This window comes from Homo sapiens, chromosome 13 (genome assembly GCF_000001405.40).
Source record: "Homo sapiens chromosome 13, GRCh38.p14 Primary Assembly".
NCBI classification, from domain to species: domain Eukaryota; kingdom Metazoa; phylum Chordata; class Mammalia; order Primates; family Hominidae; genus Homo; species Homo sapiens.
The window spans coordinates 21019263-21046244 of NC_000013.11; the positions used below are offsets into that span (position 1 = coordinate 21019263).

General features: G+C 44.1%; 1 protein-coding gene and 1 pseudogene across 7 annotated transcripts in view, besides 3 other annotated features; both read right to left on the minus strand.

Moving 5' to 3' along the window:
* Nucleotides 1-26982, minus strand: part of LATS2 (large tumor suppressor kinase 2) — an 88551-nt gene that overhangs the window by 46227 nt on the left and 15342 nt on the right. For 5 of the 7 annotated variants that reach the window (XM_017020542.2, NM_014572.3, XM_005266342.1 and 2 more), the window contains one exon: nucleotides 26423-26968. In XM_017020542.2, coding sequence (XP_016876031.1) covers nucleotides 26423-26764 — 342 coding nt within the window. In that variant the 5' untranslated portion in view covers nucleotides 26765-26968. Of the gene's footprint in view, nucleotides 1-3800; nucleotides 3965-26422; nucleotides 26969-26982 lie in introns of those variants that run through there. The other 2 variants (XM_017020541.2, XM_011535042.3) reach the window with 2 other exon arrangements.
* Nucleotides 14725-15225: an enhancer, noted in NCBI's record as "H3K4me1 hESC enhancer chr13:21608126-21608626 (GRCh37/hg19 assembly coordinates)". NCBI's record gives its function as "activates a minimal SCP1, AML or CMV promoter by ChIP-STARR-seq in naive H9 embryonic stem cells {active_cell/tissue: H9 hESC(naive)}" and the evidence as "EXISTENCE:reporter gene assay evidence [ECO:0000049][PMID:30033119]".
* Nucleotides 16226-17050: an enhancer, noted in NCBI's record as "H3K27ac-H3K4me1 hESC enhancer chr13:21609627-21610451 (GRCh37/hg19 assembly coordinates)". NCBI's record gives its function as "activates a minimal SCP1, AML or CMV promoter by ChIP-STARR-seq in naive H9 embryonic stem cells {active_cell/tissue: H9 hESC(naive)}" and the evidence as "EXISTENCE:reporter gene assay evidence [ECO:0000049][PMID:30033119]".
* Nucleotides 18142-19130: an enhancer, noted in NCBI's record as "H3K27ac-H3K4me1 hESC enhancer chr13:21611543-21612531 (GRCh37/hg19 assembly coordinates)". NCBI's record gives its function as "activates a minimal SCP1, AML or CMV promoter by ChIP-STARR-seq in primed H9 embryonic stem cells {active_cell/tissue: H9 hESC(primed)}" and the evidence as "EXISTENCE:reporter gene assay evidence [ECO:0000049][PMID:30033119]".
* RNU4-9P (RNA, U4 small nuclear 9, pseudogene) lies at nucleotides 19267-19405 on the minus strand (annotated as a pseudogene).

Genomic DNA, 26982 nt, shown 5'->3' on the forward strand with positions numbered 1-26982 from the left:
ACATATTAAATCACTTTGTATTCTCACTTGGATTTGTTATTATTATTATTATTATTATTATTATTATTATTATTATTATTTGAGACAGAGTTTCACTCTTGTAGCCCACGCTGGAGTGCAGTGGCGCAATCTCAGCTCACTGCAACCTCTGCCTCCCGGGTTCAAGCGATTCTCCTGCCTCAGCCTCCCAAGTAGCTGGAACTACAGGTGCACGCCACCACGCCCAGCTAATTTTTTTTTTTTTGTATTTTTGTATTTTTAGTAGAGACAGGGTTTCACCATGTTGGCCAGGCTGGTCTCGAACTCCTGACCTCAGGTGATCTGCCTGCCTCAGCCTCCCAAAGTGCTGGGATTATAGGTGTGAGCCACCGCATCCAGCTGGATTTGTTATTATTTTTAATCTCTCAAAAAAAAAAAAAAAAAAAAGGCGGCTGGGCGTGGTGGCTCATGCCTGTAATCCTAGCACTTTGGGAGGCCGAAGCGGGTGGATCACCTGAGGTCAGGAGTTCGAGACCAGCCTGGCCAACATGGCAAAACCCCATCTCTACTAAAAATACAAAAATTAGCTGGGGGTGGTGGTGCACTCCTGTAATCCCAGCTACTCGGGAGGCTGAGGAAGGAGAATTGCTTGAACCCAGGAGGTGGAGTTCGCAGTGAGCTGAGATCGTGCCACTGCACCCCAGCCTGCGTAACAGGAGTGAGACTCCATCTAAAAAAAAAAAAAAAAAGCCCTAAACTCATTTGTCTTCTCATTGGCATACTTTTCTAGAGAACAGGGAACACATTTTCATGCAAATGGCTCCCCACTTTACGAAAGTGGTTGAAGGAGAGTGGATGTACATCCTTTCCTTTCTAGACAGCTCCTAAAGTCAGTCAGTTCACATAAAATATACCTGAAAACACACCAATTCCCACTGTGACATAGGGAAGCCTGGCAAGATTCTTCATCAAAGCAAGGAGCTTCTGACGTGAGCAAGTCTAGCTCTCCACTACATCAGCCAAGTGAATATCTGAAAGTACACGCCCCCTTTCAGAGCTTGCACGAACAATTCTATTATTATCCTATTATTTGCCATTAAAAGTAATGACAAAAACCTCAATTGCTTTTGCACCAACCTAATACAACCAGAAAGAAAGCCAAAGCCTCACCGCACTGCCTCTAGGCACAGGGCAATTTACCCAGGAAAGTTAGGCCAGGAAGTAAACTTTTGTAACCAAAATAGCATTTTTAATTTACAAGACCTTACATCTACTTACTAAGGAAATGTTAAGGGAAAAAAATCACATTAATTCCTCTCGAGTACAGCTAGATGGCCATAAATGTTGTCCTGCTTAAAACACAGGACTTCAGACTGCCTGCATGTAGTCAGAATTCCTGCCATCCATCAAACAGCCAGGCCAGGTCTGCCTCTCTCCATGTAGGGACACTGTCCAGGGGCTAAAAGGTTGAAAATGGCTTTTTTCCACTAGGAAGGCTGTGGGGACATAAGCTGACAACTACCCTACATGGAACAGGCAACCCCGTCATGCAAGCAGGCCTCTCTCCCAAAGGCACCTCCATCCCTGCTGTCATGTGGCACAGATGAGCACACCTACTACGTCACAATGCAGTGTAGCCACGCCAGACTGGACCAAGGACACACTCTTAGCCTTCTCTTCTCTCCAAATTCACTTTATTATCTTTAAGCCACACATCCGTGGTTGGGAAGGTGTCCTTGATTCTTCAAAAATCAAAAGGCATCTCCTGATATGCTGTCTGGGATTTATTTTAAGAGTCTGAGAGGAAGAGAGGTGGGAGGGTTATAGATGAAACAAGACAGGCCGTGTGTGGGTCACTGTCAAAACTGGTCAGTGAGTATCTAGGAGTTCATTATTTCATTGTTTACTTGTGAATATGTTAAACATTTTCCATAATTAAAAGCTTTCTTGGTCAGGTGCAGTGGCTCACACCTGTAATCCCAGCACTTTGGGAGGCTGATGCAGGTGGATCACTTGAGGTCAGGAGTTCAAGACCAGCCTGGCTAACATGGTGAAACCCTGTCTCTACTAAAAATAGGAAAATTAGACGGGTGTGGTGGTGCGTGCCTGTAATCCCAATTATTCAGGAGTCTCAGGCAGGAGAGCTGCTTGAACCTGGGAAGCAGAGGTTGTAGTGAACTGGGATTGTGCCACTGCACTCCAGAGCCCGGGCAGCAGAGTGAGACTCTGTCTCAAAAAAAAAAAAAAAAAAAAAAAAAAAAAAGCTTTGTAAAAGGCATTTCTGATATGCACGTTTAAGTTTCTGGAGAAAACAAAACCCTTTGCCAAGTTCTTACTCCAGTGTGTTTAAATTTCACATTGTTAAGACGTTCAGGTTTCTTGTCAGCATTGCTCAAAGCTGCCCATGGTCAGCAGCTTAATTTTTGAAGAATTGAGGACACCTTCCCAACCACTGATGTGTGGCTTAAAGATAATGAAGTGAATCTGCAGAGAACAGCGAGGCTAAGAGCATGCCCTTGGTCCAGTCTGTTGTGAACAGTGCTGCTCCTGGGGTCCACACTGCAGTTATGCACTGTAGCCCTCACAGAGCCCCAGGGCACCTTTCACAGTGCCACAGAGACCAGTTCTGTCACCAAGCAGCACAGGGTGAAAGCTCCTCAGACTTCTCAAGCTGTTCTGACAGAGAAAAACCAAAAATCTTTACTTAGACTATCTGTTTCCACACTTTCTTCGTTAGAGGAGCTGATTTTTTTTTTGTGACTGAACTGAAAGTATAGTGGGCCCTGGGTGAAATAGAAAGATGAAATAGGAGAAAAGACTATTTTCGTGGGTTCTCAAACTTGTGGAGGAGCTCTGAAAAATACCAATGCCCAGAATCCACCCTGGACCAATTAAATCAGAACTTCTAACAGATGTGTATGTATGCCTGTGTGTGCATACATGTGTACATGTGTGCAACTACGTAAGTGTGTGAATATGTGCATGCATGTGTGCCTATGTGTGTGGACGTATGCATATGTGCGTGTGCATGTATTTGTATGTGCATGTGTGTGTGAGTGTGCATGTGTGTGAATATCTGTATATGCCTAAGTGCATGTACTGAGTCAGGACTGAGAACCATTGCTCAAGGCCATGCATGCACCTAGATGGCCTCAAGTTCCTCAAACACAACCCCCACTAGCCCCGAAAGCCTAAAATCCCTGACATCTCACTTTTGTACTGCACGGTTAGAAGGTTCTTCCTGTATCCTGCAAAGATTGGTCCAGGTGGACCTTGGACCCACTGGCCCTTGTTCTAACCACGCAAAACACACCTTGTCCCTCATTCAAAATGTTTGAAAAGATCAAATGAACTGTACCAAAGTCAGAGGAAAGCTTTTTGTTTATTGTCAGAGTGCTTTTAGGAATCCCGCGTTTACTGCCTGAGCCACAGAAATGTAATACTGAAGGGGGAGAGAGATGAGGACTATGAAGCAAACACACACAAGGCCAATTTAGATATGAGAGTGGGGATTTATGTGTTTTTATAATACTGGAGTGGGTATAAACAGAGCTATCCACCCTGCGAGAGAATAAAAGATCCTCATTATGTTCATAAAGGGATTTTGCAGATTATTTCCTGCTTTAAAGGAAATAATCATGTTTCCTAGAACACATCTATAATCTTCATCATATACAAATAAGCAATAGACTCCCCTTCTTCACTCTCCAGCTGGACGCTTGGGCAAGGGTGTTTTGATTTTCTCTGATTAGCCAGGAAAGGGGGTGTGGGGGAAGCCACCCTCACCCTCTAGTCCAGCCCAGCAATCCCACTGCATGCACCTGCAGAGCCCCAGGGGGGCAGTGTCGCTCGAGCCGGGGACTCCTTTCCAAAGATCGCTCCCGGCATCCATAGCGCTGCATCGAGGGCTCCGGGCTCCGAGGGCTCCGAAGGCCGGGGAGTGGGACCAGCTCCCACACAGGAGACGCAGCTCAGGGCTTCTACATTTCTAGGAATGCTAAAAACCCAATTTTCTTAATTCCTTTTTTTTTTTCTTTTTAGAGATAGGGTCTCACTACGTCCCATCCTCCTGCCTCAGTCTCCTGACACACTGGGACCACAGGCGCTCGCCCCCTCTCCAGGCCCAATTTTCAGTGTGAAAGCTCTTGGTTCTTAAAAGTTGGAAAGACATTTTTAAAAAACTTGTAAGACACCGTGTGGGTAGAATAGAACCCAACTGCAAGTACACGGACCCCTGCACTTCCCGTCCTTGGCCTCTGTTCTCGAGGCGGGGCCAGGACTCTCCACGCTGCCGGAGAGCCCAGACAGTGTCTGAGATTGATGGTCAATAACACAGCAAGGTCTTAGGATTTCAAAAGGATGGGAGGGAGGTCCACCAAATGACACATTTTCTATGACTGGCTTTAAAAAAAAAAAAAAAAAAAAAAAAAAAAAAAAAAAAACAAACCTCGGCCGGGCGCAGTGGCTGACGCCTGTAATTCCAGCACTTTGGGAGGCTGAGCCGCGTGGATCACCTGAGGTCGGGAATTCAAGACCAGCCTGACCAACCTGGAGAAACCCCGTCTCTACTAAAAATACAAAATTAGCTGGGCATGGTGGCGCATGCCTATAATTTCAGCTATTCAGGAGGCTGAGGCAGGAGAATCGCTTGAACCCAGGAGGCAGAGGTAGCAGGGAGACGAGATCGCACCATTGCACTCCAGCCTGGGCAACAAGAGTGAAACTCCCTCTCAAGAAAAAACAAAACAAAACACAACTCAGGGGGCTTTGGAAAACAAGCAGGCATCCTCGGGAAGGGCCCCCCAGGGAGTTTACAGACCTTCCCCAGAAAGGTTAAAGTGTCTCGCTGTGCAAAAAAAAAAAAAAAAAAAAAAGAAAAAGAAAAAACAGCTTGAAAAATAACAGGAATGGGCCGGGCATAGTGGCTCACACTTGTAATCCAGACACTTTGGGAGGCTGAGGGGGAGGGATCACTTGAGGTCAGGAGTTCAAGACCAGCCTGGCCAACATGGTGAAACCCATCTCTACTAAAAATAAAAAAAAATTAGCTGGGTGTGGTAGCACATGCCTGGTAATCCCAACTACTGAGGAGACTGAGGCAGGAGAATTGTTTGAACCTGGGAGGCGGAGGTTGCAGTGAGCCGAGATCGCGCCACTGTACCCCAGCCTGGGCGACAGAGTGAGACTCTGAATGATAATAATAATAAATGATAATAAATAATATAAAAGTTAACCCTTTTTAGGTTGGCTGGACTTTCAGTGGGGTTCAGTGGCGGTTCTCGCCAGGGCATATCTAAAAGTTGAGTATGGCCCTGCGGGAGCTCTTCCTGCATAGCGCCTCACGGATGACATCTCACTTTGACGGTCATCACTGACCAGCACCGTGCTGTCCCACAGAAATGTAACTCGAGCCACATGTGGAATTTTCCATTGTCTTATACCCACATTAAAAAAAAAAAAAAAAGTACTGATGTTAAAAGATGTATATTTCAACCCAATACATCCAAATATTAACATTTCAACAAGTAAGCAATGTTAGAAATACTGACATTTTATATTCTCTTTTTTGCACTATGTCTTCCAAATCGGGTGTGTATCCTATACTCACTGCACACCTCAATTGAGATGAGCCCCATCTCAAGGCCTCCAAAGCCACGCATGGCCTGGGGCTGTCCCCACAGGCTCAGCCAGGCCCAGAGACACGCACATTTATGTACAGCCCTGCAGACCAGGCTTCCCCCATAACTTTTTGCCTGGTTTTGTTTTTTGATTCATTGATTTTTATATATTTAACAGGTTACTATCAATTATAATCAGTATTCCTTTATGGCTGATCTACTACTTGCTACTCCCATGAAGTCTGTAAGACACCTTTAATGAGGTATAATTTATGGTCACGGGGCCAGGTGCGGTGGCTCACCTGAGGTCAGGAGCTCGAGACCAGCTTGGCCAACATGGCGAAACCCCGTCTCTACTAAAAAAAAAAAAAAAAATACAAAAATTAGACGGGTATGGTGGCAAGCACCTATAATCCCAGCTACTAGGGAGGCTGAGGCAGGAGAATCGCTTGAACCCGGGAGGCAGAGGTTGCAATGAGCCAAGATCATGCCACTGCACTCCAGCCTGGGCGACAAGAGTGAGACTCCGTCTCCAAAAAAAAAAAAAAAAAAAAATTATGGTCATGAGTGAGGAAGAGTTTCTGGTTGGCACCTGAGGGGGTCGGACACGGACATGGGATCATTTTCTGGAAGACCTGTGGAGGGTTTCTTGAAAGGAACAGTACCAGCTTATTCAATAACTCTACCTTTTGGTGTCATGCAGGATGGATCACTTAGGTTTTATTCCTCTTCATGACACGTGAGGTAGTATGCTATGAAACTCTGTCTCATCGTCATTAGGTCTGCACTCATTGACCCAGACAGGTTCAGATCTTGCCTGACACTGCTCACAACATTATTTGGACATACTAAATGTATGCTGGTCAGCTGGTTCATACATGGTGAGGTCTCCTGTCCTCTGCACGGAGGAGGAAGTGAAATTATTGCTGTGACCCCTCAGTGTTCCAGGCTAGAAAAAAGCAGAGCTGTGGAGATGCTACTGATGGCCATACGGCCCTGTACGTCTGGGTTGATTTTTTCACCAACCGTGACTCTCTGACTAGGACTAGATTAGGGACCCCTGTTATAAGGTTTGTTTAAAGTACAGCCTGGTTTTGGCCTTGATTTTGCCTGATGTTTTGCAAGAGACTCTCCACCCAAGACCTAGCCTGACCATCTTTAAGCCACCTCTGAAAGCACTGGCCATAAAGAGGGCTGCCCATGAAATCAACACCAATCCCTGGAATACCCATCGGATGCCCCACCCTCCTCTAGGCATAAGAAAGAAGAGAAGGAAACGAATTATTTGCATCCACTGTAACTGGACCGTTCAAGTATGAAAGATGTATACACCAGTAAAATCACCATCACACCAAAGATACAGAATATTTCCATCAATCCCCAAATTTTCTTAGTGCCCCTTTATAGTACTCCCTCCCTCCACCCCACCCTAAGTAACTAATTATCCACTTTTTGTCACTATGAGTTAACCATTCTCTAAACTACTAAATAAATAAAACTGTGCAGTATGTACTTTTTGTGTTCAGCATCTTTCGTGCAGCATGATTTTGAAGCCCATTGATGCTGTTGTATAAGTGGTCCCTCGGGTTTCTTTGTTTTGGTTGGTAGCATTCTATTGTAGGGATGTGCCAAAATTCATCCATTCAACTGTTGATGGACACTGGGGTTGTTTAGTTTTTTGCTATTACAAATAAAACTACTATAAATATTTGTGTACAAGTCTTTTTGTAGACATGTTTTCATTTCTCTTAAGTAGATATATAGGAGAGGAATGACTGAGACATACGGTAGGTATGTTTGACTTAAATTGTTTTGCCCTGGCACCATAGCTCATGCCTATAATCCCAGCACTTTGGAAGACAGAGGCAAGAGGATTGTTTGAGCCCAGGAGATGGAGACCAGCCTAGGTAACATAGCAAAACCTCATGTCAATTTTTAATTTAAAAAACATTAGTAAATAAACTGCTTTACAATTCTATGTGAATTTTAAGAAAATTCCAATTGCTGTACATTCTCACCACTACTTAGTATTATCAGACCTTTATACTTTAGCCTTTCTAATGAGTATATAGTAGTATCTCATTGTGGTTTTAATTTGCATTTCTCTGATGATGAATGATGTTGCTTATCTTTTCATGTGCTTATTTGACATTCCTCTATATTTTTGTGAAGTGTCTACTCAAATCTTTTGCCCATTTTTAAAGGTTTGCCTTTTTATTATTGAATTCTAGTTCTTTATATATTCCAAATGTGAGTCCATTGTCAGATATATGTATCAGTAATATTTTTTCTCATTCTGTGGATTGAGTTTTGTTGTTTTAATGTCCTCTAAAGAGTAAAGACTTTTCATTTTGTAAACATCCAATCTACCAGTTTTCCTTTTACGTCCCATGAATTTTGTGTTGGATCTAAGAGATCTTTGCCTTTCTCAAGGTTGCAAGATTTTATCCTATGCTTTTTTCCCCAAAGTTTTTAGCTGTTTTATATTTAGTTCTACAATCCATTTTGACTTAATTTTTGTGAATGGTGTGAGGTCAGAGTAAATGTTAATTTTGACTCATCAGACTATCCAATTGTCTCAGCACCATTTGCTGAAAAAACAAACAAAAACCCTCAACCTCCGCCCTTTTCCTCATTGAATTTTCATGGTACTTGTGTTGAAAATCAATTGTAGTAAGTCCCATGTAAGTGTGGGTCTATTTTTGTACTCTGTTCCACTACCTGTCTATCTAGTCTTATGCCAATGCCACACTGTCTTGCTTAGCTTTAGAGACTACCCACAATAGTCTGGTCCAAAGTCAGGTCTAGCAGTTTTGAAAGTAAGGTAGTTTAAGGACTCTACCTGTGTTCTTTTTTAAAACATTGCTTTTGCTATTCTAGGTACTTTGCAGTGCCATATGAATTCACAATCAGCTTGTCAATTTCAATTAAAAAAAATAAATAAACCTGCTGAGATTGTATTTGGATTCTGCTGGATCCACAGATAACTGTGAGAACTGCCGTCTTAACAGTATTGAGTCTTCTGATCTGTGAACATACTCTCTCCATTTATTTATTTATTAATTTTTTATTTTTTATTATTATTATACTTTTAAGTTTTAGGGTACATGTGCACAATGTGCCGGTTAGTTACATATGTATACATGTGCCATGCTGGTGTGCTGCACCCATTAACTCGTCATTTAGCATTAGGTATATCTCCTAATGCTATCCCTCCCCCTTCCCCCACCCCACAACAGTCCCCAGAGTGTGATGTTCTCCTTCCTGTGTCCATGTGTTCTCATTGTTCAATTCCCATCTATGAGTGAGAACATGCGGTGTTTGGTTTTTTGTCCTTGCGATAGTTTCCTGAGAATGATGATTTCCAATTTCATCCATGTCCTTACAAAGGACATGAACTCATCATTTTTTATGGCTGCATAGTATTCCATGGTGTATATGTGCCACATTTTCTTAATCCAGTCTATCATTGTTGGACATTTGGGTTGGTTCCAAGTCTTTGCTATTGTGAATAGTGCCGCAATAAACATATGTGTGCATGTGTCTTTATAGCAGCATGATTTATAGTCCTTTGGGTATATACCCAGTAATTTATTTTGATATTTAATGTGATCAGCAATGCTTTGCAGTTTTAAGTGTACAGATCTTGCACATATTTTGTTAAATTTATCCCTAAGTATTTTGTATTTCTAAATACTACTGTAAATGAAACTGCATCTTAAATTTCAATTTTCTGGAGTCTCGTTCTGTCACCAGGCTGGAGTGCAGTAGCGCGATCTTGACTCACCGCAACCTCCGCCTCCCGGGTTCAAGCAATTCTCCTGCCTCAACCTCCCAATTAGCTGGGATTACAGGCATGCACCACCACGCCCTGCTAATTTTTGTATTTTAGTAGAGACGGGATTTCACCATGTTGGCCAGGATGATCTCGATCTCTTGACCTTGTGATCCACCCGCCTTGGCCTCCCAGAGTACTGAGATTACAGGTGTGAGCCACCGTACCCGGCCAAATTTCAACTTTCAAGTGTTCATTGCTAGTTCACAAAAAAACTACTGATTTTTGCATACTGACCTTGTATCCTGTGACCATGCTAAATTATTAGAGGAAATTATTAGTTCTGGTAACTTTTAAAAATAGATTCCTTAAGGTGTTCTATAAAAAGGATCATGTCAAATGCAAATTGTTATACTTCTTTTCCAATCTGTGTACTTTTATTTCTTTTTTCTTTCCTTACTGCACTAGCTAGGACCTCCAACAGAAGATGAAAGAGGACATCACACTGTATTACTAATCTTAGAGGCAAGTTATTTGGTTTTTCACCATTACATGTTGATGTTACCTGTGGATTTTACAGAGGTACCCCTCAGCAAGTTGAGGAAGTTGCCTTTTATTCCTAGTTTGGTGATAGCTTTTGGTACAAATGGCTGGTGGATTTTTCTGAAATGCTTACTCTATCTATTGAGATGATGAAATGGTTTTATTCTTTATTTTGTTGATATGATTAATTATATTGATTTTCTAATGTTTAACCTTGTATATCTGGGATATATCCCAGTTGATCCTGATGTATCATCTTCTTACCAAATGCCATTTACTAATATTTTGGTAAGGATGTTTGGATTTATATTGCATTTATAAAAGATATTGGAATGTCGGGTGCGGTGGCTCATGCCTGTAATCCCAGGACTTTGGGAGGCCAAGGCAGGCGTATCACGAGGTCAGGAGTTCGAGACCAGCCTGGCCAATATGGTGAAACCCCATTGCTACTAAAAATACAAAAATTAGCCGGGTGTGGTGGTGCACACCTGTAGTCCCAGCTACTCGGAAAGCTGAGGCAGGAGAATCACTTGAACCCGGGAGGCAGAGGTTGCAGTGGGCCAAGATTGCACCACTGCACTGTGGCCTGGGCAACAGAGCGACACTCTGTCTCAAAAAAGAAAAAAAAAGATATTGGGGATGGGCGTAGTGGCTCACGCCTGTAATCCCAGCACTTTGGGAAGCCAGGGTGGGTGGATCATGAGGTCAGGAGATGGCAGGCAGGTCATCTGAGGTCAGGGGTTCAAGACCAGCCTGGCCAACATGGTGAAACCCTGTCTCTACTAAAAATACAAAACTTAGCAGGGCATGGTGGCATGCACCTGTAATCCCAGCTACTCAGGAGGCTGACTCAGGAGAATTGCTTGAACCTGGGAGGGGGAGGTTGGACTGAGCTGAGATTGAGTCACTGCACCCCAGCCTGGCAAAAGAGCTAGACTCTACTTCAAAAAAAAAAAGGAAAAAAGAAATCCACCCCCATGGTCTAATCATCTCCCACCATGCCCTACACCCTATCTCCAACACTGGGGATTACATTTCAACATGAAATTTGGGTGGGGACAAATATCCAAACTATATCAACAATCTACTTAAATGTTAATTTTGAGTTACACTAGAAAAGGAACTCTGCTGGCCGGGCGTGGTGGCTCACACCTGTAATCCCAGCACTTTGGGAGGCCGACACGGGTGGATCACGAGGTCAGGAGATCGAGACCATCCTGGCCAACACGGTGAAACCCCGTCTCTACTAAAAATGCACAAAATTAGCCAGCCGTGGTGGCGGGCGCCTGTAGTCCCAGCTACTCGGCAGGCTGAGGCAGGAGAATGGCGTGAACCTGGGAAGCGGAGCTTGCAGCGAGCTGAGATCACACCACTGCACTCCAGCCTGGGCGACAAGAGTGAGAGACTCCGTCTCAAAAAAAAAAAAAAAAAAAAGAAAAAAAAAAAGAAAAAGAACTCTACAATAATATATTTCCATTTAACTCCCCCAACTCATAGTGTTGTATATCAGATCTATAGGTATGATAAACCTATCAATAAAGTATTGTTTTTACTTTAAATATTGATGTCTTTTAAAGAGATTACAAGAAAGAAAATAAAAAATAAATTAGTATTTTATACTTATTGATATCTACTGTTTCTAGTGCTCTTCATTCCTTCCTGTATATCCTTTAGCATTTTTCCCCCCATACACCCACCCCTTTAATATTTCTTTTAATACAGGTCCCCTGGTAACAAATTTTCTCAGATTTTTGTTCCCCCGGAAATGTCTTTACGACACTTTCATTTCAGAAAGACAGTTTGCTAGATATAAAATTCTCGGTGTATTTTTTTCTTCAGCACTTTGTGTCATTTCAATATATGCAGCATTTATACTGTCTAATGAGAAGTCAGCTTTTAATCTTATCTTTCTTCTGTATGTAACATCATTTTTCTCTGGGTGCTTTCAAGATTTTGTCTTTATCTTTGGCTTTCATTAGCTTAAATATGATAGGCCTAGGAGTTGTTTCCTCTGTGTTCATCCTGCTCTTGGTTTATTAAGCTTCTTAGATCTGTACATGAATGCTTTTCACCACATTTGAGAAGTTTTTAGCTATTACTGTGTCAAATGTTTAGGTATTTCCTTTCTATTCTTGGATTTCAATTTCACATATACTGGACAACCTCATATCATCCCACAAGTCACTGAGATTTCTGTTCAATTTTTTTCTATGATTTTTGGATTGGGTAATTTCTACTAATTTATATTTCAGTTTACTGGTTCTTTCTACTGCCGTACCTAATGTTATGTTGAGACCATGTAGCCAATAAAAATTTTTTCACCTATTTTGCTTTTCAGTTTAGAGTTTCCATTTTTGTAGTTTCCATTTCTCTGTAAAGATTTCCTGTCTGGGGCTGGGTGTGGTGGCTCATGCCTGTAATTCCAGCACTTTGGGAAGTTGGGGAGGGGGAGCATGGGATCACTTGAGCCTAGGAGTTCGAGACCAGCCTGGGCAAAATAGTGAGACCCTGTCTCTATAAAAAAGTTAAAAAGTGAGCTGAGCGTGGCGAAGTGTGCCTGTAGTCACAGCCACTTCAGAAGCTGAGATGGGAGGATTGCTTGAGCCCGGGAAGGCTGCAGTGAGCTGTGATGGCACCCACTGCACTCCGGCCTGGGTGACAGAGCAAGACCTCGACTAAAAAAAAATTTTCTGTCTGTGCATCACTAACCCTGTATTTTCTCTTAATTCTGACACATTTCCCTTTCATTGTCTGAATATATTTGTAATAGCTTTTTAAAAATTGTTTAAAAAACTAACAAAATTTGTCATTTTAACCATTTCATGATAGCTGTTTAAATGTGCTGTCTGGTAAAGCCAACATCTGGTTCCTCCTGGTGCTATTGACTGCCTTAGTTCCTAAGGGTTTCACTTTCCGTTTTCTTACCATGTGCAGTAATGATGGATAAAAACAATACTGTTGATAATACGTTGCAGCAACACTGCATTCTAATGGGTTAGGTACTCTGTTTTATAGGTAAGAGCTATGTGCTGCAATTTGACTAAATTCACATACAAACTGATTTCTACTCTGTTCTTATGGCTTACCACTTTTTATTTTATTTTTTGAGACAGAGTCTCGCTCTGTCACCCAGGCTGGAGTGCAATGGCGCGATCTTGGCTCACTGCAACCTCTGCCTCCCCCGGGTTCAAGCAATTCTCCTGCCTGAGCCTCCTGAGTAGCTGGGATTATGGCGCCCACCACCACGTCTGGCTAATTTTTGTATTTTTAGTAGAGACGGGTTTTCGCCATGTTGGCCAGGCTGGTCTGGAACTCCTGGCCTCAAGCAATCGCCCACCTCAGCCTCCCAAAGTGCTGGGATTATAGGGGTGAGCCACTGCACCCAGCCTTTTTTTTTCGTTCTTTTTTAAGCCCATCAGCTATCATTAGTATTAGTGCATTTTATGTGTGGTCCAAGACAATTCTTCTTCTAATGTGGCCCAGGGAAAAGATTGGACACCCCTAAATAATCCCTAAGACCCTGAGAGGCCTACCATGGTTCCCTGGATGGTACCGACACAAATGGGAATTCAGAAAAGAAAGAACTTAGCGGGCACTGGGATGAATGGCCGTAGAAGGCCACAAGGATGGGTCGTGGAAGTGGGACTCGAAGGGTGGACCACGGCTGGCTGGGGAATGCACTTCAGGGGGCGACAGCATGAGCGAACCCAGTGTGGGAGAAAACCTCATAGCCTGGTGGCAGGGGAGGTGCAGAGGGCAGACCCAATGAGAACAGGAAGGCTGGGCCGGTACAAGAAATAAGTGGAGATCAGATTGGAAGAGGATGGTGAAGACAGTGGCTACCAAGACACTTGCCATTCAGGAAAAGTCCACCCGGGGAATTACTGGGTCAGGGAGAATCCAGGTATAGTAGAGCAGGGTGTTAGCAGCAAAGACACTTAAGAGAAAAAAAAAAAATAGCAGGCCACCGGAGAAAGTACTCATTAACAGAAAGACTGGAAGTGGAGCCTAGAGCCAAAGACAATGTAAGCTAGGAACCTTTGTTAGACCAGACCTGGTTGAGAAAGAAAGAGAAACAGGGAGGATGGGAGAGAATAGGGGGTAGAGGGGCGAGAGAACACACGCTCCTGGTGTAGAGGAAAGAATTTGGAAACTACCAAGGAAATCCTGAAAGGAGGAGTCAGCTGAGTCCCTGCTGACTTGGTTTCTCTTTCTACTGTGACCTCAGACAGAGAGGTAGAGATGTGCACGGGAAGACTGGAAACAAACACACCGAGTTCAATACAGAAATACCCAGTCACAGGGTGGGGCTTCTTACTCTAACAGTTCCAGCCTAAAATGCCAGAAAAATAGTGGAAACACCAAAGCAGGAGAGTTGAATTAAGCCACTTGGCATGGAGAAGGTGACAGACACACACGGTATCGCTGAAGGCTCTTGTAAGCGTCTCCAAGGTTGACAGACGGCACAGAGTACAATTTGTTCCACTACACTTGGCCACATTCTTGGGCCTACTAGATGCCAAATGCCACTAGCTTTACAACAGCTCTCTGCTGACTAACAGCTTTTATAAGCCAAATGAAGTTGCTTCCAATTTACATTAAATGTGTACTTCTTGGCTGGAGAAATTTGTCACTGTTAATCATTTACTTTTGTACAAAACAACCTTTATTTCTATTACATGATTAATAATTCTTCTAATGTCATAACCACCCAAATATATATCAAAACCACAAGGACACACACATTCCACAAGTTTGAGCAAATCTTCTCCATGTGATTTCTGTGGGACAGGGGACCAGTCGCACCCAGGCTGGTAGGACAACGATCTTATTATTAAGTAAAGCACGTCACAGCACCAGGAAGCCCAGCTCTCCAGCAACTTTACAAGTTTCTGAGCACTAATGACACATGGCATTGTGGTCAGACTGCCACCTCTGCATACCAACCACGGGCCAGTTACTTTACATTCTTTCTGGTCAGCGGGAAAACTCATAACATAGGAGCAATTATCATCCCAAGTGTGTGGATGAGGACTCCTGAGGCTCAGAAGGTGCATGGTATGCCCTGGTTGACACAGCCAAGGTGACACATGGCTACACTATGGCTTTCTAACCAAGGTCCAGCTTCCCTTTCTTCCTTACTGACAGTGCCCAGTTGCATTGGGGTGGCCACGTGCCCAGGTGAAGTACACATTTCCAAGGCTGCTTAAACCCCCATGACCAAGTAACTGGGTCCTGACCGGGGAGGTGTTGGGGAAGCTCCTTGACAAAAGAGCCAGAGCCAGAGCCGGCACGTCCTTCCCTGGCTCAGACCTGGAACACCACTGCAGAGGTGCCGTCTGGTGCACGCCAAGACGGAGTCACTTGCTAAGGGTGGCAGATAGAGAGAGAAGGTGCCTATTCCTGATGACACTGTGGACTGCCGTGCCACCACAGCCTGCTCATCTTCAGCATCCTTCTTACTCTGCCTCTGGGGGTTAGGCCTCTGCAGTGGGATCAGCTACCAGTAGCTTGATTTAGTGCTTGTCTGCTTCTGACACCTGGGGCCGCTGCCGAGCCTACACAGCTAGGCTCGTTGCTGGGGGAGGATACAGAGGGGAGAAGAATTTCCTGCCGTTTCCCACAGTACAGGAAAGTCATCAAGAACTCTTAGGAAAAAAAAGGCATCCGCTAACAAATAAGTCAATTATAGAAGATTACAAATTGTAAAAATTTAACTATGAAAAAAATCTCCCCTCTAAATACACTACTACAAAATATATCTAAGATGGGGCTGAGCACAGTGGTTCATGCCTGTAATCCCAACACTTTGGTAGGCCAGGGCGGGAGGATCACTTGAGGCCAGGAGTTTCAGACCAGCCCGAGAAACATAGCAAGACTCCATCTCTATTGACAAGAACAAACCAAACAAAACCAAAACAAAACAAAAAAGCAAGAAAAGAAATCTAAAACGAGTAAAACCTAATATATAAAAAATTGCATGATGAATGTGGCTTTAATTCAAGAGCTATGAATTTCTGGCAAGTAAATTTTAAGGCCAAAATAAAGAGAAGCTGGGTAGTGACTATGATAATGGATGTGGCATTTTTTTTTTAATTTTGAAATTCATCATAACCCTAGTAAAAATAGTTCTAAAAGAGAGCATTGTTAAATGCCATAAAACATTCTATTTCCTTGTTGGTTTTTCCCCTATTTACATCCTTGTTGGTTTTCTCTATTTACATCCACAAATGGTTTGGCAATGACAGAAACAGTTTAAATGAAGCCCCCACACAGAATTGCATGCAGACTGGAGACCCAGAACTCGGAGCCCCTCTCCCAGGGCCCCATCCATCAAGCCAGGCAAAATTGGGGTTCCAGGCAACAAAAACCATCAATCTAGACTGTACATGAGTTCCCGCCTAGATCTCTACAACCACATGACAGCAAATAATCTCAGCAGTAAACGTTTGGTGTGACACAACAGGCATTAAGTGAACAATATTTATGATCTCCAATATTTTTCACATTATAGCCCACATAAAAAATGCTAATATCTGTACTGCACACTGGGATAGAAGAGCAGGTTGCTCGCAGTGGAGGGACCCAGCTCCCAAAGGGCTGCAGGGACCAACACCACAGCACGCAAGTAGCCAGTGATTCCTAGAGCCCACCTAGGACCTGCGCCACTCACAAAGGTAAGTCATTCAGGGAGCAGAGAAAAGGCATTTCCTCAAAAGCCCCCTTCCCCTTTTTTCGGGGAACAGAGTCTTGCTCTGTCGCCCAGGCTGGAGTGCAGTGGCACGATCTTGGCTCACTGCAACCTCTGCTTCCCAGGTTCAAGTGATTCTCGTGCCTCAGCCTCCTGAGTAGCTGGGACTACAAGCGTGTGACACCACACCTGGATAATTTTTGTATTTTTAATAGACGGGTTTCACCATGTTGGCCAGAGTGGTCTCGAACACCCGACCTCGGATGATCCACCCCCCTCAGCCTCCCGAAGTGCTGGGATTACAGGCGTGAGCCACCGCACCTGGCTTAATTTTTGTATTTTTAGTAGAGACAGGGTTTCATCATGTTGGCCAGGCTATTATCAAACTCCTGACCTGACAAGATCCAACCACCTCAACCTCCCAAAGGGCTGGGATTACAGGTGTGAGCCACTGTGCCTGGCCAAAAGCCCATTTTAACAGGAAAGTGGGTCCAGTCTCAGGCACTTAATAAGAGCCTCCCTACTCACCGCCAAAATGAGAGCTTTCTAGTACTTAAAAGTGGAGAACTATTACCACTTTCTATTATCACACACATCCATTACTGCAATTAAGAACACAAAGCCCAGCCCTTGCGGTGGCTCACGCCTGTAATCCCAGCACTTTGGGAGGCCGAGGTGGGCAGATCACGAGGTCAGGAGTTCAAGACCAGACTCACCAACATGGTGAAACCCCGTCTCTACTAAAAATACAAAAATTAGCCCGGCATGGTGGCGCGTGCCTGTAATCCCAGCTACTCAAGAGGCTGAAGCAGGAGAATTGCTTGAACCTGGGACACGGAGGTTACAGTGAGCCAAGATGGCACCACTGCACTCCAGCCTGGGCGACAGAGCAAAACTCCGTCTCAAAACAACAACAACAACAACAAAAAACAACAACAAAAAAGCCAACTATTAAACTGACAGTTGCTTCTAGTTTTTAGTAGTAGTAGTGATAATATTCATCGTTAGCAGGGTTGGAAGTATAAATTCAATTGAATGATTTTTAAAAACCCACTTGGCAATACAAATAAGAATGGTAAAAATGCTCTCAACATTTACGCTAGTAATTCCATTCCTAAAATGTATTCTAAGGAAGTCAGTAATATCCATAAGAAGGTGTGTAGAAGAATGTTCATGACCAGCTCTTTACAATAAATTATGGGACATCTATTTGAACAATGGAATACAATGCAAATGTTAAAAATCATATTTTAGGACCGGGTGTGGCGGCTCAGGCCTGTAATCTCAGCACTCCGGGAGGCCAAGGCATGTGGATCACCTGAGGTCAGGAGTTCTAGACCAGCCTGGCCAACATGGTGAAACCCCATCTCTACAAAAATACAAAAATTAGCCAGGCATGACGGTGGGTGCCTGTAATTCCAGCTACTCAGGAGGCTGACGGGGGAGAATCGCTTGAACCCCAGAGGGGGAGGTTGCAGTAAGCCAGATCATGCCATTGCATTCCAGCCTGGGCAACACAGCAAGACTCCATCTCAAAAATCATAATAATTTTAAAAATCATATTTTAAAAGACTATTCAATGGAATGAAAATGTTTATGACGTAATGCTTGTCTCTGTGCTTCTCTGTTAGGTGTTTTTGAGAGCTTGCACAGTTCTGGGTCTTAGAAAGTGGCGACTAGAACAAAGCCACTGTCTCACAGGCCTTAAAATCTACAAAGGGAGACGCACAAACTACTTAACAGCAGATTCTGATAAACACTGGGGGAGAAAATTATGGTGTCACGGGAGAGAACGAGGGACCTAATTTTGACTGGAGGCTCAGAAAAGGCTTTTCTGAATCACAGACCCAAAGATGAGCCCTGAGGGAGAAGTGGGCCTGGTCCCGCAGCAGGGCCAGCACTGGGCAGCCTGAGAGACAGGCAGAGTGGGCAGGGCCAGGGTGGTCAGGACCAGGGCGGGTAGGGCCAGGGTGGGCCTGCCAGCAGCTGGGATCCTGCAGCTACAGGTGGGTCCTGTCCGCCAACTCCCAGGCACCATCCTGAGGCCAGAGAAAAGGTTTCCAGAAGGGAAATGACAGAATCTTCCCTTTTCAGAATGAGGGGGGCTAGACACGGTGGCCCACGTTTGTAGTCCCAGCTACCTGGGTGGACCGCTTGAGCCCAGGAGGTCGAGGCTGCAGTAAGCCATGATCATGCCACCACACTCCAGTCTGGGTGACAAAGCAAGACCCTGTCTCAAAAACCGAAACAAAACAAATCAGACTGAGGAGGGTACTGTGCAGGGAAGGCCGGAGAAAGACGCAGAAGGGGCAACCAGGAGCCACCAAGATCCCAGGAGCAAAGGTGGAGCCTGTACCGGGGGCAGGAGAGGCCAGTGCATGAGGTGCTTCCGAGGAGAACTGACTGGGGTGATCTGATGGGCTACAGGACCTCAATTCTGTTACACAAAAAGTGTGTGTGTGGTATATGTATTATATAGTTTAATATATAATTCCATCTTTTTTTTTTAATTTAAAAAAATAGACAGGGTCTTGCTGTTGCCCAGGCTGGCCTTGAACTTATAAGCTCAAGCAATCCTCCTGCCTCAGCCGACCAGACTGTTGAGATTACAGGTGTGAGTCACTGCACCCCACCTATTTTATCTCTCTCTTTCTTTTCAGTCTCTGTAGAGACTGTCAAAAATCGCCAGTGCTGACTACATTTCAAGTTGTTATGGTGGGGTATTGGAAAGTTTCCAATTAGCAATAATCGCACCTTGGACAAACTTCATTGGCTATGACACTGCCACTGTGCAAAGCTTTATCTATTTTTGTAATTAGAAAAAAGTTGTGCAGTTTTATACCAACATGTTAACAGCAGTCTTACCAGGTGGCCGAGGCGGGCGGATCACCTGAGGTCAGGAGTTCTAGACCAGCCTGACCATCATGGAGAAACCCCGTCTCTATTAAAAATACAAAAAAATTAGCCGGGCGTGGTGGTGCATGCCTGTAATCCCAGCTCCTCGGGAGGCTGAGGCATGGCGCATTGCTTGAACCCGCGAGGCGGAGGTTGTAATGAGCTGAGATCACCCCACTGCACTCCAGCCTAGGCACAGAGTGAGATTCCATCTCAAGAAAACAAAAACAAAAACTAGGAGCAAGGCTTAAGGGGAGAGGGGATTATGACACAGAGGGGTATGCTTTGCTTGTGTCTTGTCAAAGTAATTTAAATTCCTACATTAAAAAGGTATGTGGTGTGCCTTCTGGAAGAGCCAAATTTAATTTGAAAGCCACTAAGAAAAAAAAAGGGGAAAAGGCAAGGAACTGCTACACCCAAAAGCCATTGTAATACAATTTCCTGTTACATGACCGACATTCCTAAACTTAAGTGTTTCTTTCTTCCTTCTCCTCTTATTAATATTTCAGCACGCGTGTTCAGTAACACCAAACGGTGGTTCCCTTTCAAGAGGAAGTGAGAAAGAGGAAATGTACATGTTATCTAAATTCCTTTTATCTTTTTCATTAGCAAAATATCTTTAGTACAATGAAGAATCCTGTGGCAGGATCTTGTCACCAAGACAAAGGGCTAGGAGATTAGTGTTACCATTTCTCTATAGCTTTTTTGGTGATGCATATTGTTAGAATTAAGCCAAATAAATATCCCGAGGAGATCTGCATTTCTGGTTAGCATCTTTTCCAGTGTCTGACAACTGAGGTGAGGGTTTTGGCTGGACTAGTACACAGAACTTTCACTGGTGAGCAAGCACTGATTGAGCACATGCTCTGCAACATGGGAGGCCTTGTGGGCACAGAGGGATAAACTCCCAAGATCCAGGCCTCCAGAGACACTGCCTAAGACAGGGAGAGCAAGACGGGAACATGACAATCTGCCAACACAATGCCCAATGCATGGAGCATCCTTGGGGTTAGAAATAAATTTCTGAGGCCAGGCAAGGCAGCTCACACCTGTAATCCCAGCACTTTAGGAAGCTGAGGGTGAGTGGATCCCCTGAGGTCAGGAGTTCGAGACCAACCTGACCAACATAGTGAAATCCCATCTCTACTAAAAATACAAAATTAGCTGGGCGTGGTGGCGCATGCCTGTAATCCCAGCTACTTGGGAGGCTGAGGCAGGAGAATCACTTGAATCCGGAAGGCAGAGGTTGCAGTAAGCCGAGATAGCTCCATTGTATTCCAGCCTGGGCAATAAGAGCGAAACTCCATCTCAAAAAAAAAAAAAAGAAAGAAAGAAATTTCTGACCAGGCATGGTGGCCCACGCCAGTAATCCCAGTACTTTGGGAGGCTGAGGCAGGCGTATCGCTTCAGACTAGGAGTTCAAGACCACCGTGGGCAACATGGTGAAACCCCGTCTCTACAAAAAATAGAAAAATTAGCCAGACATGGTGATGTGCGCCTGTGGTCTCAGTTACTTTGGAGGTTGAGGCGGAGAATTGCTTGAGCCCAGGTCAAGGCTACAGTGAGCCGAGATTGCGCCACTGCACTACAGCCTCGGCGACAGACCTTGTCTCAAAAAAAAAAAAAAAGAAAGAAAAAGAAAAAGAAAGAAATGTCTTTGCTGTGGAAGTTTGAATAGGAACAGCTCGATCCAGGTGGAAGAACCAGGAAGAGCCTGTGTAAAAAGGAATCTGAGTGGAATCACAGAAGCTACTAGAATCCAGATAGGTGGTGATACTTCCAACCAACGAAATCATATGTCAGAGAGACCCAAAGTAAGCAAGCGGGAAGAGCTGTCTGGGAGGCCATGCTGTGTGGCTGAGACACTGCAGAGAGCTCCTCTGTAGAGGGGAGCATGTGGGGAGGATAAGACCAGGGTCTGGGAGGCCCCAGGAGCTGCAGCAGAGCCAAGGTGGGAGTCAGGCTGGCCAGCTGCCAGGGACGTGGGGGGCAGCCATGTATGGATGCCCAGGGAATGAGAGGAGGGGAGAGGGACCCTGATAAACTCCATGCCCCACAGACATGAGGGAAAGGAGAAGCAACCCCTATGAGGATGGAAATGAGAAAAGAATTCTTATCTGAGGAATCTGAGTCCTTTTAAATTATTAGGCCCAGAGAGACATTAAACTGAGAGAACAATCACATTCTACTTCCCCCTTGAGGCATGTGTTCACCTTTTTTTTTTTCTGAGGCAGAGTCTCGCTCTGTCGCCCAGGCTGGAGTACAGTGGCACGATCTGGGCTCACTGCAAGCTCCGCCTCCTGGGTTCACACCATTCTCCTGCCTCAGCCTCCAGAGTAGCTGGGACTACAGGCGCCCGCCACCATGCCCGGCTAATTTTTTGTATTTTTAGTACAGACAGGGTTTCACCATGTTAGCCAGGATGGTCTCGACCTCCTGACCTCATGATCTGCCCGCCTTGGCCTCCCAAAGTGCTGGGATTACAGGTGTGAGCCACCGCGCCTGGCCCACTCCCTTTTCTTATTAAGCAGATGGCCCCTGATTCACTGAGCAGCTGGTGTGGACACTGTTCTCAGGAAGGCTGCCTCTCAGTGCACATCCTGACCACTGGCTGTCTTCTTTATGCCCTTCCTTATTTGATCTAATATAATCAGTTTATCAGTTTGTTTGTTTACATTTCTTCCCTAACCTCATTCCATTAAAGTTTTAAATCACTTAAACATGATAAAGTGGGGGGAAAGAACTGGATTAATCAGGATTAGGAAATTACAGCTGACACAATATTCAGGACCAGGAAAATGTATCAATGCTGAGCCACAGACTGGGCACCCCTCAGCAGATCAGAGGGAGGGTGGACAGGCAGGATACAGGTCATCCACAGAGAAAAAGCCCATGCCAGTTTCTCAAGGAAAGCAGAACCCTTTCCTAGCACTCGCATCCAAACAAAGTTCTCACATAAGTCTTCCTAGAGGGGACACCATGTGATAAAGTGCTTTGCTATTCTAAGGGGTCCAGGGGGCCATGGGCCTCCCCTGGGAGTTACTGAATTGGAACCTCACCCTCACAGGACTCATAGGCACCATCCTGAGTGCTATAATTAAGAACAGTGAGTGCAGTGAGCTGACGACACCCCCACCTACCCACACCATGCAGATGTTCCCCCTATAACCCACTGCAACCAGAGAGAAAACAAGTCCCAGGCTTCCGCAGAACAGAAATATTTTGCATATTTAAATGCAAACTTAAATGATCACTTATGCCAATAACTATCCAATGCTCAAAATATGATACTCATAACCAAAAAACTTACCTTTCCAATTCCTTAAATCTATATTTAAAGAGCAGCTCCTCCCATAAGAAATATTAATCTAGTGGCCTAGTTTTTTTCTACAGGAATTTTTGTAAGTTTTCAGTAATTTATGTGCAAAAGACTAATAAACATATCATTTGACATACACATTATATCCTTACACAGAAAATACCCTTGAGTCTTTTACTTTTTCCAGAAATTTCCATTTTAAAGTATTTTAATTAAAAATATACCCAAACATGCTAGTTACATGGGTGGGTTTAATATGCAAAAATTCACTATGCTGTGTGCTTAGAAATTGTGCACTTTTAAAGTAAATTTTACTTTAATTAAAAGTTAAGGCTGGGTGTGGTGGCTTGAACTTATAATTCCAGCACTTTTGGAGGTTAAGGCCGCTTGAGTCTGGAAGTTCCAGTCCAGCCTGGGTAACATAGTGAGATGCCATCTCTAGAAAAAATTTTGAAAACTGGCCAGACGTGGTGGCACGCCTGTAGTCCCAGCTACTTCAGAGGCTGAGGTAGGAGGATTGCTTGAGCCTGGAAGGTCGAGGCTGCAGTGAGCATTGACCTCACCACCACACTCCAGACTGTACAACAGAGCAAAACCCTCTTAAACAGACAAAACAGTAGGAGTGGCTGGGCATGGTAACTCACGCCTGTAATCCCAGCACTTTGGGAGGCCTAAGAGGGCGGATCACAAGGTCAGGAGATTGAGTCCATCCTGGCTAACACGAAACCCGTCTCTACTAAAAATACAAAAAATTAGCCGGGCGTGGTGGTGGGTGCCTGTAATCCCAGCTACTCAGGAGGCTGAGGCAGGAGAATTGCTTGAACCTGGGAGGCAGAAGTTGCAGTGAGCCGAGATTGCGCCACTGCACTCCAGCCTGGGCCACAGAGCGAGACTCCGTCTCAAAAAAAAAACCAAAAAACAAAAAACAGTAGGAGTGAAAGGGGTAAAGCTGCAACAATAAGAACTCTCGGCCAGACGTGGTGACGCACGCCTGTAATCCCAGCACCTTGGGAGGCCGAACGAAGCAGGCAGATCACTTGAGGTCAGGAGTTTGAGACCAGCCTAGCCAACATAGTGAAACCCCGTCTCTGCTAAAAATACAAAAATTAGCCAGGCGTGGTGTTGCGTGCCTGTAATCGCAGCTACATGGGAAGCTGAGGCAGGAGAATCACTTGAACCCAGGAGCCCAGGTTGCAGTGAGCCAAGATGACGCCACCACACTCCAGCCTGGGCAACAGAGCAAGACACCGTCTAAAAAAAAAAAAGAACTCTATTATACTGAATTCAAATCATCTTTTTAACAAACTGATGCATACAACTCTAAAGGTACGGTTATCTTTTTCTCTTATTATTTGGGTTCACATAATGACTTTCCTACCTGAATTTTCTGAACGCAAATACATTTTTTATCTAGGCCAAGAAAAGTGTGAGTTGGAGGGGAAAGGTGGAGGCACAGCTGTTTTAAGTTATAAAGTAACACCACACACCAAACTGAATGAATTATTTCAAGGGCATTAAATATGGTAAATGGAGGCCTTTCTGCTAGCAATTAACATAAATTAAATGTTGATGGAAACTTCATCGGTGTCATGATCCTTACTTTTAGTGTATTTGTGTTTCTGTATTGGAAACAGCACTGGCTTTATTACTTCTTGCACTATAATTATCACTAATGGATTTTACCCTAATAAGATCCCACCTGTATTTGGGATTATTTGCTTGACTTGTTTCTTTTTCTCACAGCTGAAACACAACCGCAAAGAACACAGGGGCTTGGTTTGCCTCCTTTGTCTGCAAGTGATTTACAGGAGAAGATTTTAAGCTCTGCTGTTGGCCTGAAAGTTTCTCTGCAATCTTACTCCAGATTTCCCCAGGACTGCTCCTTCCCTACTTTCAAAACTGCTGGGTTCTGTACGTCAAGGGATAATGCTTGGCAGCATATTTAACTTCATGCTTTCACAATAAGAATGTCTGTGCCTTTGCTGTCAGCTTCACTGCTGAAACACTCTGCACCACATTACTCACAACCCTGTGCTTTATCAAAGCAGCTCGACATAACAATCCTCACTATATACAAGTTAATCCCAGTATGGCCCAAATTATCAAGGAAGCCCTCTATAAAACAGCAGGATTCATTTCACAAACATCTCCTCTGAGAAATGTAAATTCTCTATTTAAGGTCTATGGTAATAAACTACAAGAGGATTGAGAGTGGTTTTGGAAATAACAAATAACACTGTTAGCCTTTTCCTATGACTGCAACACCAGGAGTATGTAATTAGGTTATTTCTAAGAAACCAGAAGTGCTCAGGCCATTCTGATGTGCTTTGAGCATGAAATCTTACTACTTTTCCAAGGTACCAAAAATACTTAGCTTATTTCCGCTTCATGCAACTGTAATTTTTAAGATGACAGATTGTAATAAAACACTGGCTTTCATGAATCATTTCATAATGCAATTATGTTTTACTTGTTACATTTCACTAATTACATTTTTACCTGGTTGGACACTAGTTCCATTTTATATGGTCCTGTCCCTCAATTTGGATTGTATTCAGGTATACGAATTGCTAAGAGATCATAAATGTATGGCTATGAGGTGTAGGGGTGTGTGTGTGTGTGTGTGTGTGTGTGTGTGTGTGTGTGTGTGTGTGTGTTTTAAATAGAGATAGGGTCTCGCTCAGCTAACCAGGATTGGAGTGCAGTGGCTATCATAGCTCACTGCAGCCACAAACTCCTAGGCTCAAGCGATCCCTCCTGCCTCAGCATCCCATGTAGTTGGGACTACAAGGTGCACACCACCACGTCCAGCTTTTTATTTTTTGTAGAGATGGGGAGTCTCGCTATGTTGTCCAGGCTGGTCTCAAACTCCTGGCCTCAAGTGATCTTCTTGACTGGCCTCCCAAAGTGCTGGGATTACAGGCATGAGCCACCACACTCATCTCTGTAAGCTGTGTATTAATGTATAACTGGTGCCACCTCCACTAATGTATCCTTTAATCCTAAACAACTGAAAAGTGAGACTGTGTTGCCACAATTTTGACGATTTCTCAAGCTTTTTCTTTCTAGTTTTTCCCATTTCCTGAACATGTTAATAGTTACACCCCCTGTAACAGCATATACACTAATTGTTAAATAGGAGAAAACCGAGTCAGAGAATAGCCAATGCATGTTGCTCAACCCTCCCATTTCTAGGAAAAAAAAAATGCACAAACCAAAACAAGAAAAGGGAAGCCAGTCTCTTTCCACGATAGCTCAGAATAACCCGAATAAACACCAAAAAAAGGGGCTAAGCACGAAAGCCCTTTTCATCTCCACAAGAACAGATCAGAAAATACACATTACAATTTCAGGAGACCTCAGCAACTTCTGGAACTTGCCTGAAAAGGAAAAGCAGCTCAAAAGACCATTTTAGAGAGAAGGTAGAGAACCTTCAATTGTGAGTTCAATTATGTGTTAAAAGGGCCTTGGGTTTTTAACCTAGAAACACTTGTATAAGTAGTAACCAATTCAAAGCCTTCAAGTAGTTGCCAAACCATTCTGACTGCCCCAGCTGTCCCATAGCTGCCTCTGCACATGGCCCTGCAGAGGTCTGTACCCACCTGGTCGCATCCTGCGTTCACCAGTTCCTGCAGCATTTGCCGGTTCACTTCTGCAGCTGCAGAGGTGCCCGATTCATTAGCAAAAGGCAACAAGGAATATCTGATTTCCCTCAAGGCTTTCTGATAAGGTCCGAACTTTGGGGTGGCTCTCATCTGCTGCTGCTGCCTGGTGGCATCTTTGCTCCCCAGGACTTTGGCATCCAGGGAAGTGTCACTGTTTGGTCCTGCGGGTAGCCCCTGAACCGAAGACTTGGATGGCTGTTTTAACCCCTCACGAATCTCTTGCAGTCGCTGCCGGCTATTTCCAGAATAAGTCGTGGCAGGAAAAGTCTTTGGCCTCATTGTTAGTCCAGTTTCCTTTTACCATAAATACAATCTTCTTAAAGTGTTTTATTATTTAAAAAAAAAAACTGTCAATAGTATCAGTTTGTTGTAAACATACTTTCAAAATAATTTCCTTTTGAAAATGTTCTTTCCTTCCATTTTTGTAGTTCCTATAGAGAACCTAAAATTTTCCAAAGTCTTCATTTTGAAGATTATCACTCTCTGAAAAAGAAAAT